Source organism: Homo sapiens, chromosome 12 (genome assembly GCF_000001405.40).
Source record: "Homo sapiens chromosome 12, GRCh38.p14 Primary Assembly".
NCBI lineage: Eukaryota > Metazoa > Chordata > Mammalia > Primates > Hominidae > Homo > Homo sapiens.
Window position 1 is genome coordinate 19326476 of NC_000012.12, and position 14707 is coordinate 19341182.

Genomic DNA, 14707 nt, shown 5'->3' on the forward strand with positions numbered 1-14707 from the left:
TTCTGAAAACATCTTCTCCTCACCTGGTAGGCCACAAAAGTACACAAAACTAGGATTAGCACAAGGGAAGCATGTAAAGCAGTGTTCCCTATACTTTTTATTTATTTTTATTTTATTTTAGGTTTGGGGGTACATGTGTAGGTTTGTTAACTGGGTCTATTGTGTGATGCTGAGGTTTGGAGTATGAATGAGCCCATCACCCAGGTACCTAGCATAGTACTCGATTTCAACCTTTATCTTCCATTCTTTCCCCACCCACAGTAGTCCCCAGTTTCACTGTTACCATCTTTATGTCCACGAGTACCAGTGTTTAGCTTCCACCTGTAAGTGAGAACATACGGTATTTGGTTTTCTTTTCCTGCATTAATTTACTTAGGATAATGGCCTATGGCTGCATCCATGATGCTGCAAAGGACATGATTTCATTCTTTGTTATGGTTGTGTAGTACCGTGGTATATATGTACCACATTTTCTTTATCCAGTCCACCATTGATGGGCATCTAGGTTGGTTCCATGTCTTTGCTATTGTAAATAGTTCTGTGGTGAACATGCAAGTGCATGTGTATGTTTGGTAGAAAGATTTGCTTTCTTTTGGATATACTTTTGGATATATACCCAGTCAATGCAATTGCTTGGTCAAATGGTAGTTCTGATTTAAGTTCTTTGAGAAATCTCCAAACTGCTGTCCATAGTGGCTGAACTAATTTATATCTCCACTCACTGTGTATAAGCATTTCCTTTTCTCTGCAGTCTTGCCAGCATCTGTTTTTGTTTTTTTTTTTTTTTTTACTTTTTAATAGTAGCCATTCTGATGAATGTGAGATGGTATCTCATTGTGATTTTAATTTGTATTTCTCTGATGATTAGTGATATGGAGCATTTTTTTATATGCTTATTGGCCACTTGTATGTCTTCCTTTAAGTGTCTGTTCATGTCTTTTGCCCATTTTTTAAAAGGGTTATTTGTTTTGTTTTTTCCTCGTTCAATTGCTTAAGCTCCTTATAGATTCTGGATATTCAACCTTTGTCGGATGGGTAGTTTGCGAGTATTTTCTCTCATTCTGTAGGCTGTTTACTCCATTGATAGTTTCTTTTGCTTTACAGAAGCTCTTTAATTAGCTCCCACTTGTCAGTTTTTGTTTTTGTTGCTATTACTTTTTTCTTTTTTCTTTTTTTTTTTTTTTTCTGAGACAGAGACTCACTCTGTTGCCCAGGCTAGAGTGCAGTGGCGCGATCTTTGCTCACTGCAACCTCCACCTTCCAAGTTCAAGCAGTTCTTGTGCCTCAGCCTCCCAAGTAGCTGGGATTGTAAATGCCCGCTACCAAGCCTGGCTACTTTTTGTATTTTTAGTAGAGACAGGGTTTCACCATGTTGGCCAGGCTGGTCTTGAACTCCAAGCCTCATGTGATCTGCCCACTTTGGTCTCCCATAATACTGGGATTACAGGCGTGAGCCACCATGCCTGGCTAAAGGATTCTTATAGTTTGAGGCCTGACACTTAAATCTTTAATCCACCTTGAGTTAATTTTTGTATATGGTGAAAGTAACGGGTCAGTTTCATTCTTCTGCATATGGCTAGCCAGCTATTCCAGCACCATTTATTGAATAAGAAGCCCTTTCCACATTGCTTATTTTTGTCAATTTGATCAAATATCAGATGGCCATAGGTGTATGGCTTAACTGCTGGGTTTTATATTCTGTTCCCTTGGTCTGCGTCTGTTTTTGTACTAGTACCATGAAGTTTTAGTCTGTAGCCTTATAGTATAGTTTGAAGTCAGGTAGTGTAATGCCTCTGGCTTTGTTTTTGTTTAGGATTGCTTTATCTGTTTGGACTCTTGGTTCAATATGAATTTAAGAATTTGTTTTCTAGTTCTGTGAAAAATGATGGTAGTTTGATAGAAATGACATTGAATCTGTAGATTGCTTTGGGCAGTATGACCATTTTAACAATATTGATTCTTCTAATCCATGAACATGGAATGTTTTTCCATTGGTTTGTGTCATCTATGATTTCTTTCAACAGTGTTTTGTAGTTCTTCCTATAGACATCTTTCACCTCCTTGGTTAGATGCTTTCCTAGGAGTGTGTGTGTGTGTGTGTGTGTGTGTGTGTGTGTGTGTGTATTGTAAATGGAATTGCATTCTTGATTTGGCTCTCAGCTTGAACATTATTGGTGTATAGAAATGCCAGTGATTTTTGTACATTGATTTTGTGTCCTGAAACTTTCCTGAAGTCATTTATCAGTTGTAGGAGCCTTTTGATAGGGTCTTTAGGGTTTTCTAGGTATAGGTCACATTGTCCGTGAAGAGAGGTAATTTGACTTCTTTTCCTATTTGGATGCATTTTATTTCTTCCTCTTGCCTGATTGCTCTGACTAGGACTTCCAGTACTATGTTGAATAGGAGTGGTGAGAGTGGGCATCCTTGTCTTTTTCCAGTTCTCAAGGGAAATGCTGCCAGTTTTTGCCCATCTCAGTATGATGTTGGCTGTATATTTGTCATAGATGGCCTTTACTATTTTAGGGCATATTCCTTCAATATGGATTTATTTCGTAAGGGTTTTTATCATGAAGAGATGCTAGATTTTATCAAAAGCCTTTTCCATGTCTACTGAGATGATCATATGTTTTTTGTTTTTTATTCTGTTTATGTGGTGACTCACATTTGTGATTTGTATATGTTGAACCAATCTTGCATCTTAGAAATGAAGCCTATTTTATCATGGTGAATTAACTTTTTGATATGCCACTGAATTTGGCTTGCTTGTATCTTGTTGAGGATTTTTGCATCTATGTTCATCAGGGATATTGGCCTTTGTTTTCTTTCTTCTTTGTGTCTTTACCAAGTTTTGGTATGAGGGTGATGTTGGCTTCATAGAATGAGTTAAAGAGGAGACCCTCCTCCTTATTTTTTTGGAATAGTTTCAGTAGAATTAATACCAGCTCTTTGTATGTCTGGTAGAAATCGGCTGTGAATCCATCTGATCCGTGCCTTTTTTTGTTTGGCAGGTTTTTTATTACAGATTCAATTTCAGAACTCAATATTGGTCTGTTAAGTGTTTCAGTTTCTTCCTGATTCAATCTTGGGAGATTGTATATTTCCAGGAATTTATCTATTTCATCTAGATTTTCTAGTTTGTGTGCATAGTGGTGTTCGTAATTGTCTCTAAGAATCCTTTGTATGTCTGTGGGATCCATTGTAATGTCATCTTTGTTGCTTCTCATTGTGCTTATTTGGATCTTCTTTTTTTCTTTATTATTCTAGCTAACAGTCTGTCAATCTTGTTTTTGTTTTCAAAGAACCAACTTTTGATTTCCCCAGGCTGGTGTGGTGGCTCATACTTGTAATCCTAGCACTTTGGGAGGCTGAGGTAGGCAGATTACTTGAGCCCAGGAGTTTGGGACCAACCTAAGCAATATGGTGAAACTCCATCTCTACAAAAAAAAAAGCAAAAAACAAAAAAAACTAGCCGAGCGCAGTGGCGTGTGCCTGGAGTGCCAACTACTCAGGAGGCTGAGGCAGCAGGATGACCTGAGCCCAGAGAGGTCCCGGACAACAAAGTGAGACCCTGTTTCAAAAAACAAAACAAAAGAAAATCCACAAAAAAGCCAACAGAAGTGTGGCGCAGTAATAGTTATTTATTTAAATCTTCCCCTGTGTGCTAGCCTTTCTATTTTTATTATATCTAGAATTTTTAACAATAAAAAGCAAGCACTTTCTTTGAGATGAGAAGTTAGTTTTGTTTCATTGAAAACATTAGAGAAGAAACTAAACATGGGAGTTAACAATTACAAATAGCTAAAACATAGAATGACTACAATTGTGGTCATAAACTAGAAATTTAAAATATGGATAGCTTTATAATTGTGGCTGATAGTTGAGCCTCACTTTATACAGTTTGAGTTGGTGCCCTTTTAAACATCTTTTTTAGTGTGTTTCAAGTCGAGGCTAAGTGAAAAAATAATAATAAAACGTAAACATCTTTTTAGGTTAAAAAAAGCCAGTGTAGTCATTAGATAGTGTAATGAGGCATGCCATGTGCTTAATAAGTAGTGATTTTATTTGAGAAGCAGTTACATGACAAGTATAAATTCGTAAAAAAAAATTATTTTTTAAAAAACTCCTTAAATAATTAAGCACATTCTTCAAATGTGAGCCAGGAAATCTCTACATCCTGAAGGTAAAATGAAAAAATGAATAAATCAGACATAAGTTTCTTTTGATTGACCTGAAAAATCAACTGCTTCTAATACCAGTTGGCAGGACTGTTATGGTGGAGTATTAGTGACCAAAAATTAACATTTTAATTTTTTTGCCTGATCCTCGAAATATACCAGTAAAATTAATTTAAATATCATAAGGCTTTGATTTTCCAAGATATAGTGGTGGGCATTAATTTGTAATATTACTTAAATTTGGAAAGAGATGTTTGAGTTTAAATTAGGAAGTTAATGAATAATTACACTACATCTATTGCCTCTCCCTCATTTTGATATTAAAAACCTATGTCAATACTTTTCCAAAGTTGTAGGTTTTATTTTTTAATGAAAAGCAGAAAAATGAATTGACATTTCTTAAATTAAAACTTAGAAACCCTAATTGAGAAGCAAACCAGAAGTAAAACAGTTTATTAGCTCTAAGAATAATAGTAATTATTTGCTTTTTTTTAAACTATAGCCACCTGTAGTCTTACAATATTTACTTGATTATTTTAAAAAGAGGCAATGTGACAGCAAAATACAGAGAAAACAATTTGAGATTTGTGTCTAGTGTATTGTGTAACCATTCCCTTGAGTAGATTTTGTTGTAAATTGCCATTGATTTTAGATAAGAAAAGGAAAGTTTTCCTCATATTAAAAACTTGGAAATGCATCATTGGTTTTGATTTTTTTTTAAATAGAATTTTTTTGTAGAGATGAGATCTCCCTATGTTGCCCAGGCTGGTCTTGAGTTCCTGAGCTCAGGAGATTTCTCCCACCTCAGCCTCCCAAACTGCTGGGATTACAGGCGTAAGCCACCATGCCCGGCCATTAATCCTTTCTTAATAAAGGACATAGTATATATCTGCTATATAGCCGTCTAGCTAAATATTAAAATCCTTAACTGATTTTTTTGGAAATCTGGAATTTCATTACATTCCTGCTTCACTTTCTCCCCCGCACAGTGGCCAAGTCTTGTCTCAGTACAGACTACATAGAAGTAAGCACTATTAAAATTTACTTGTTCCATACCCTAAACTTAGACAATTTTTTTAAAAAAAATCTTGGCCGGGCCTGCTGGCTCCTATGTGTAATCCCAGCACTTTGGGAGGCTGAGGCAGGAGAATTGCTTTAGCCTAGGAGTTCAGGACCAGCCTGGACAACATAGTGAGACCTCAAGTTTACAGAAGATTAAAAAACAATGCCCCAGCATGGTGGTGTGCACCTGTACTACTCAGGAGGCCAAGGTGGGAGGATTGCTTGAGCCTGGGGAGTTGAGGCTGCAGTGAGCTGAGATCACACCACTGCACTCCAGCCCAGGTGACAGAGTAAGAAAAGTCTGGCCTGGCACAGAGGCTCACACCTGTAATCCCAGTTCTTTGGAAAGATTGCTTGAGCCCAGGAGTTCAAGACCAGCCTGAGCAACATGGTGAAACCCCAAATTAAAAAATTATCTGGACATGGTGGTGCAAACCTGTAGTCCTAGCTACTTGGGAGACTGAGGCAGGAGGATCGCTTGAGCCCAGGAGTTCAAGGCTGCAGTGAATTATGATCATGCCACTGCCTTCTAGCCTGGGCAGCAGAGCAAAACCCTGTCTCTAGAAAACTCTGCAGCAATCCCTCCTCCTGCCCAACATGCACACTATTTTTTTCTTTTCTTGGAATATAACATGTTCTCAGAAAAGCACACAGTTTAGGAGTTTAGCCAATATCTATATCAAGACATTGAATTTTACTAGCATACCAGAAGCTCCTCTCCCAAAAGGAACACTGCCAGACTTTTTTCTTCTTTCTTTTCCTTTAACTTTTTAAAATTGTTTTAGAGACAGGGTATTGCTACATTGCCCAGATGGGAGTGCAGTGGCTATTCACAGGTGCAGTCATAGCACACCACAGCCTCCAACTCTTAGCCTCAAGTGATCCTCCCCCTGCCCAGTCTCCTGAGTAGCTATAGCCTAGCACCTGACATTTAAACTATAGGTGAGTTTTGCCTATTTTTGAACTTGTTTTTTGGAGACAAAGTCTCTTACACAGGCTGGAGTACAATGGCACAATCTCAGCTCACTGCAACCTGCACCTCGCTCAAGCGATCCTCTCACCTCAGCCTCCCAAGTAGCTGGGACTACAGACATGCGCCACCATACCTAATTTCTGTATACTTTGCAGAGATGGGATTTCACCATGTTGCCCAGGCTGGTCTCAGATTCCTGGGCTCAAGCGATCCGTCCATCTCGGCCTCCTAAACTGCTGGGATTACAGGCATGAGCCACTGCACTCAGTCTTGAACTTTATGTGAAGTGTAACCATATACTCTTTGCCTGGCTTCCTTTAACTTACGAGGTTCATCCATATAGTTCCAGATTGAAAGAATCCATTCAGGCGGGCAGATCACCTGAGGTCAGGAGTTCAAGACCAGCCTGACCAACATGGAGAAACCCCGTCTCTACTAAAAATACAAAAATTAGCCGGACATGGTGGCGCATGCCTGTAATCCCAACTACTCGGGAGCCTGAGGCAGGCGAATCGCTTGAACCCAGGAGGCAGAGGTTGCGATGAGCTGAGATCGCACCGTTACACTCCAGCCTGGGCAACAAGAGTGAAACTCCATCTCAAAAAAAAGAAGGCCAGCCGCGGGTGGCTCATGGGTGTAATCCCAGCACTTTGGGAGGCTGAGGCAGGCGGATCATGAGGTCAGGAGATTAAGACCATCCTGGCTAACACGATGAAACCACGTCTCTACTAAAAATAAAAAAAAATTATCCAAGCGTGGTGGTGCGCACCTGTAGTCCCAAGTATCCCAGCTACTCGGGAGGTCGATGCAGAAGAATCACTTGAACCCGGGAGGCAGAGGTTGCAGTGAGCCAAGGTCATGCCACTGCACTCCAGCCTAGGCAACAGCATAAGGCTCCATCTCAAAAAAGAGTTCATTCATTCTCTTTTTTTTTTTTTTTTGAGATGGAGTCTCGCACTGTCGCCCGAGCTGGAGTGCAGTGACACCATCTCGGCTCACTGCAACCTCCACCCCCCAGGTTCAAGCAATTCTCCTGTCTCGGCCTCCCAAGTAGCTGGGACTACAGGCACCCACCACCAAGCCCAGATAATTTTTTTGTATTTTTAGTAGAGACAGGGTTTCACTATGTTGACCAGGCTGGTCTTAAACTCCTGACCTCGTGATCCCCCTGCCTCAGCCTCCCAGAGTGCTGAGATTACAGGCGTGAGCCACCGCACCTGGCCTTCATTTATTCTTTTAACTGTATAGCCTGGCATTCTCTACTTTTTATTGAAAGCACTATTTTGTGGCAAGTACTTGAGATTTTAAGGTAATTGTATATTTGAAAAGTATTAGCCCTTGTAAATTATCTTGCTATATTAGCTTCTTGACCACAAATACGTAAGGTCATATTTAAAGATTATTAGCATGGTACTCATATAATCTAGTAAATTCTTTAATGAAATACCCAGCCAGATGTTGGGAGGAAATGTGTTGTGCCATTGCTGTCCTTTCCTCGCTGTCCTCTGTTGTCTTGTGTTCCTACCCACCTGGTAATCATGTTTGAGGAGCTGAAGTAAAGACAGAAACAGGTAGGCCTAGCAGGATTACAGGACTTGGGCCAGTTCAGTGGCAGGACTCTCCAGGTTAGGAAAATTGAAAGTATACTGTGCCTCTTCACTTCTAAAATACTGATAAAGGAATGTCTAGCTCTCAATCTGTATTTTTAATGTTTCTTTAAGAAAGAGAAGGATTCCTACCATCCTGAAATGTTCTTATACTTAAATGCCTCTGCAGTGCAGTTAAGCCTACCCTGAACTCTGCATTTCCACAAGGGAGCTTAGGTGTTAGCCTGTAATACCCTCTTAGCCACTGGGCTGTCATTGGATCTGTTGTCTTAATTTACTCTCCCTAAAGCCATCAAAGACCCACTATTTGCAGTTTTTGTGGTGCACACAAATTAAACCATGGCTAGAATTAATTTTTGTTAAAGGAAATTAATTTTCATATTTATTCATGTAAAAAGAATTTGCTGACTAGATGTGGTGGCTCACACCTGTAATCTCAGCACTATGAGAGGCCAAGGCTGGTGGAATCACTTGAGACCAGCAGTTAGAGAGCAACCTGGGCAACATGGCAAAATCCTGTCTTCACAAAAAAAAAAAATATATATATATATATATATATATATATATATATATATATCTCTGTATACGCACACACACACAAAATATTAGCCGGGCATAGGGGTGATGGCACACATCTGTTTTCCCAGTACATTTTGAATAATTTTTCTTCACCTAAGATTTTTTTTTTATGAAAAAAAAAAAAAAAAAAAAGACTGGCAAGATAGCTTCAGTTTTTTGTTTTTTTTTTTTTCTTTTTGGAGACATGGTCATCTGTCACCCAGGCTGGAGTGCAGTAGCACAATTTTGGCTCACTGCAACCTCCGCCTCTGGGCTCAAGCAATCCTCCCACCTCAGCCCTGCCCCGAGTAGCTGGGACCACAGGCAAGCGCCACCGCACCCAGAGAATTTTTGTATTTTTTCGTAGAGATGGGGTCTCTCTATGTTGCCCAGGCTGGTCTCGAGCTCCTGGGCTCAAGTGATCCACCTGCCTCAGCCTCCTAAAGTGCTGGGATTATAGGCGAGAACCACCACACCCAGCCAATCACCTAAATTTTCTAAAGTTATTTTAAGTTAGTTACAGAATATACAAAATAAGATAGCTCTTTATTTTTTTTCTTTTACTTTATTTATTTTTTTTTTTGAGTCGGAGTCTCGCACTGTCACCCAGGGTGGAGTGCAATGGTGCAATCTCGGCTCACTGCAACCTCCGCCTCCCAGGTTCAAGCGATTCTCCTGCCTCAGCCTCCTAAGCAGCTGGGATTACAGGCGCCTGCCACTGCGCCTGGCTAATTTTTTTTTTTTTTTTTTTTGTATTTTTAGTAGAGACAGGGTTTGGTTACGTTGGTCAGGTAGTTTCAAACTCCTGACCTCGTGATCTGCCTGCCTCAGCCTCCTGAGGCGCAATCTCGGCTCACTGCAACCTCTGCTTCCTAGGTTCAAGCGATTCTCCCTCCACAGGCTTCCAAGTAGCTAGGACCACAGGCACAAGTCATCGGGCCCAGCTAATTTTTGTGTTTTCAGTAGAGACAGGGTTTCACCATGTTGGCCAGGGTGGTCTCAAACTGCTGAGCTCAAGTGATCTGCCCCCGTCAGCCTCCCAAAGTGCTGAGATTACAGATGTGAGCCACTGCGTCTGGCAGATGATGTATTTTTAAGCACCTCTAGAATTATTCTATATTCAACAAATGACAAGCTGTTAAAGACCAAACATCAAAATCTTCTCTGTGATATTATTGGTTTGGGGGTGATTTTTTTTCCAAAGGAGAAAAGTACAGATGGATAATAGTGTCTATATTGAGTCCTCACAAACAGGATTCACTGAATTGTTTAAATAGCTAGCTAAATTCATTTGTTTTATTGTATTACTATAAGCTTATTGTAAGTAAAGTCATGTCAAGCCTCTGATGTTATTGAAATTCCAATATGCTAAAATACAAACTATTTCCATTCATGGAGAACTTTTAATGAAGACAGATAAGAAAATGCTTTATTTATGCCTCTTCTACATTTTAGGAAATAAACAGCAGCACAATAATACTTAGGTTGCTTAGTAAATTTTTGTTGAATTGAGTTTTAAAAAGGGACAAAAATGGTTATAAAAATTCCTGTTTTGCTAAGTATAAACTATATGACTTTCTAAAATCTAGAAAGTTACAATTGGAGTGATAACACCATAAAAGCACATTTTCCCCATTAAAGTAATTAACACTTTTTGGTTTTAGGAATTGGAACGAGCATGGAGAGAATATGATAAGTTAGAATACGATGTAACTGTTACCAGGAACCAGATGCAAGAGCAGCTGGATCACCTTGGTGAAGTTCAGGTACAAAAGTATAATATTCTTTATATTGTTTTAACTGTTTTTACTGGTACTGTACAATCCACCTTGTTAGATTTACGCATACCCATAACAGTTTTTACATTATTGGCTACCTGAGACCTGGATTTGAATACTTTTAATGACAGGAATCTTACTATCTCACAAAGGAGACCATCCCCTCTTGTTTAAGAGTTCTTTGTTCTGTTGGGCACATGGTGAGCCCTGGAGTGTTCTGTGCTCCTATCAGTCTCAGCTCTACAGTTTCCTAAAAACATGGTTTCATATCCTTTCACAGGTCCATCTGTGTCACTTGGTATTGAGATGTTGAATTATATGGATTTATCAAATAATGAATATTTTATCTTTTATCTTTTTTTTTTTTTTTTTTTTTGAGACAGAGTTTTGCTCTTGTTGCCCAGGCTGGAGTGCAATGGCGCGATCTTGGCTCACCGCAACCTCTGCCTCCCGGGTTCAAGCGATTCTCCTGCCTCAGCCTCCCGAGTAGCTGGGATCACAGGCATGCACCACCAAGCCTTATTAGAATAGGGGAAGATACAGCACCATTTGCTATAAAGAATCCAGTTAATAAGCAAACAGATCTGAGACCTAGTTCCAAGGGTTAGTTTTCTTATCTATAAAATAGAAATAATAATACTTGGCCGGGCATAGTGGCTCACGCCTATAGTCCCAGCACTTTCGGAGGCTGAAGTGGGTAGATCACCTGAGGTCAGGAGTTTGAGACCAGCCTGGCCAACATGGCGAAACCCTGTCTCTACTATAAATACAAAAATTAGGTGTAGTGGCAGGCATCTGTAATCCCAGCTACTTGGGAGGCTGAGGCAGGAGAATCACTTGAACCCACGAGGTGGAGGTTGCAGTGAGCTGAGATCGCACCACTGTACTCCAGCCTGAGCGACAGAGCGAGACTCTATCTCAAAAAAAAAAAAAAAAAAAAAGAAATAATAATACTTGTCTTAAAATGTTGCTCTGAGGAACGCAGATAATACATGTTTAAGAAAATAATAAAAGTTACGTCACGCTTATGACCCAATGTAAATTTGAACATTTTAGTTGGAAATGCATGGACTTAACAGACAGATCAATACAATGAATGAAAAATTAGTTAAGTTCAAGACCAACCAGCCTGACCAACATGGGGAAACCCCATCTGTACTAAAAAATACAAAATTAGCCAGGATCACGAGGTCAGGAGCTCAAGACCAGCCTGGCCAAGATTGTGAAAGCCCATCTCTACTAAAAATACAAAATTAGCCGAGCTTGGTGGCAGGCACCTGTAATCCCAGCTACTCCAGAGGCTGAGGCAGGAGAATCGCTTGAACCCGGGAGGTGGAGGTTGCAGGGAGCCAAGACCACTCCATTGTACTCCACCCTGGGCAACAAGGGCGAAGCTCCATCTCAAAAAAAAAAAAAAAAAGATTAGTAAGGTTGAATCAGAAATTCAGCTGCCCTCTATCTGTGCTGTCCAGCATAGTACTGGCCACATGTAGTTGTTGGGCATATGAAATGTGACTATTGTGACTACACAATTAAAACTGAACTTTTAGTTGTATTCATGTTAACTATCTAAATGTATTTACTTGTTTATTGAATCAGGGTTTTGTTCTGTCACCCAGGCTGGAGTGCAGTAGCATGATCCTAGATGAAACCTTGAACTCCTGGGCCCAAGTGATCCTCCCACCTCAGCCTTCCAAAGTTCTGGGATCGGCTGGACACATTGGCTCATGCCTGTAATCCCAGCACTTTGGGAGGCCGTGGTGGGAGGATCACTTGAGGCCAGAAGTTTGAGACCAGCCTGGCCAACGCAGTGAAACCCCACCTCTACAAAAATACAAAAATTAGCTGGGCACTTGTGGTCCCAGCTACTTGGAAGGCTGAGGCAGGAGAATCGCATGAGCCTGGGAGGCAGAGGTTGCAGTGGAGTGGAGATCACGCAACTGTATGCCAGCCTGGGCGACAAAGGGAGACTCTGTCTCAAAAAAAAAAAACACAAAGTGCTGAGATTACAGGCATGAGTCACCAAGCCCAGTTTGTCTAAATTTAAATGGCCACATGTGGCTGGGACTTCTGTATTGGACACTGAAGTTACACTGTCAGTAATCAGCTACAATAATCAGCTACAGGCACCTGTAATCCCAGCTACTCGGGAGGCTGTGGCAGGAGAATCACTTCAACCTGGGAGGCGGAGGTTGCAGTGATCGGAGATCACACCATTGCACTCCAGCCTGAGTGATGGGCAAAAGTCCATCTCAAAAAAAAAAAAAAATAAGAAATCAGCTACAAAAATGAGATGCTAAATACACTAGAAAAATAGCTATAAATACCTAAGATATTACTAGAGGTCAGCAAACTTTCTGTAAAAGGCCAGATCTGTCACATATTATTTAATGTTTTTTGTTATTTTATAACTTCTCTTTTTTTTTTTTGAGACAGAGTTTCACTCTTGTTGCCCAGGCTGGTGTGCAGTGGTGTGATCTCTGCTCACTGCAACCTCCGCCTCTCATGTTGAAGTGATTCTCCTGCCTCAGCCTTCCTAGTAGCTGGGATTACAGGCATGTGCCACCATACCTGGCTAATTTTTGTATTTTTAGTAGAGACAAGGTTTCACCATGTTAGCCAGGCTGGTCTTGAACACCTGACCTCAGGTGATCTGCCCGCCTTGGCCTCCCAGAGTGCTAGGATTACAGGCATGAGCCACCGTGCCCGGCTATAACTTCTTAAAAATAGTAAAATTTGTTCTTAACTCACAGGCCATACCAAAAGAGGCTGCAGGCCACAGAAATTTGCCAATCCCAGATTTAACCTGCCAAAAAATATATTTATTATGAAAATTTAGTAACCTTATTACAGGATATAAGAGAAGACCTGAATTAATGGAGAGGTGTAATTGGTATACCATATTCATGGATGGTCTGATTTAACATTATCACAATGAAAATTCTTCCTGTAAATGCAATTTTATTCCAACCAAATTTCCAGTAGAATTTTCTAAAGAAATTTCTGAAATGGCTCTAATATTTTTAAGGTATAATAAAAACCACAAGTAGTTAAGACATTTCAAAAAAAAATAAAAGAATGAGAAGTCATACTCTATGAATGGTAACATTGCATATACAGCCTTAGACCAGTTACATAACAACTCTGGGTCTCAGTTTCCACAACTATAAAATAAAATAATACCTACTCCTGCTAGGTTATTATGAGGATAAATATGTTTATATTTTGCAGCATGTAGAATAAAACCAGGCATATAAAACACGCTATATAAGTGTTTGTTAAATAAATAAACAAGGAAACATAATGTAAAACTATAGTGTTAAACATGGTACAGGAAAAAATAGACCAATGGAACAGAATAGAGAGTTTAGCAGCAGGCCATGAATATCCACAAAGCAGAGAGAGAAAGAAAGAGAGAGAATTGTTGAACAGCATTTGGCTTTATCAAAGTTAAAGATTTACCCTCAATGAAGGCAACATAGACAGAGTAAAAAGATGACCTACTGGGAGGATGTATGTTTTACCTCAAAAATTCAACAAGGGATAACTATTTAGATTTGCAAGGAAGTTTTTCTTTTTGATTTGGAGAAATAATCCTTTAGAAAAACATACAAAAAACATGAGTAACTAATCATAGGAAAACTCAAATTACTAACACGTGTTTGAAAAATAGTTCAAAGTTACTGGGAAGAGAGGAGCCCCTCTGCCCGGCCAGCCGCCCCGTCCAGGAGGGAGGCGGGGAGGTCAGCCCCCCGCCCGGCCAGCCGCCCCGTCCGGGAGGTGAGGGGCGCCTCTGCCCGGCCACCACCCCGTCTGGGAGGTGTACTCAACAGCTCATTGAGAACGGGCCATGATGACAATGGCGGTTTTGTGGAATAGAAAGGGGGGAAAGGTGGGGAAAAGATTGAGAAATCGGATGGTTGCCGTGTCTGTGTAGAAAGAGGTAGACATGGGAGACTTTTCATTTTGTTCTGTACTAAGAAAAATTCTTCTGCCTTGGGATCCTGTTGATCTGTGACCTTACCCCCAACCCTGTGCTCTCTGAAACATGTGCTGTGTCCACTCAGGGTTGAATGGATTAAGGGTGGTGCAAGATGTGCTTTGTTAAACAGATGCTTGAAGGCAGCATGCTCGTTAAGAGTCATCACCACTCCCTAATCTCAAGTACCCAGGGACTCAAACACTGCGGAAGGCCGCAGGGTCCTCTGCCTAGGAAAACCAGAGACCTTTGTTCACTTATCTGCTGACCTTCCCTCCACTATTGTCCTGTGACCCTGCCAAATCCCCCTCTGCGAGAAACACCCAAGAATGATCAATAAAAAAAAAAAAAAAAAGAAAGAAAAGAAAAATAGTTCAAAGTTGGCTGGGCACAGTGGCGTATGCCTGTAATCCCAGCACTTTGGGAGGCCAAGTCAGACAGATCACTTGAGGGTCAGGAGTTCAAGACCAGCCTGGCCAACATGGCGAAACCTCATCTCTACTAAAATACAAAAAAAGAGAGAGCTGGGCATGGTGTCACACACCTGTAATTCCAGCTATTTGGGAGGCTGAGGC

The 14707-nt window shown here is 40.5% G+C and overlaps 1 protein-coding gene across 72 annotated transcripts in view; it reads left to right on the forward strand.

Annotated features, from left to right (window-relative positions):
• The window catches only part of PLEKHA5 (pleckstrin homology domain containing A5), a 246668-nt gene that overhangs the window by 196743 nt on the left and 35218 nt on the right, over positions 1 to 14707 (forward strand). For 70 of the 72 annotated variants that reach the window (NR_169820.1, NR_169818.1, NR_169816.1 and 67 more), the window contains one exon: positions 10040 to 10141. The exons of the other annotated variants lie outside the window; for them this stretch is intronic. Coding sequence is in view for 64 of the 70 variants with exons in the window: in NM_001256470.2 (NP_001243399.1) it covers positions 10040 to 10141 (102 nt within the window). In the remaining 6 variants the exon portion in view is untranslated. The remainder of the gene's footprint in view (positions 1 to 10039; positions 10142 to 14707) is intronic. 72 annotated transcript variants of the gene reach the window in all.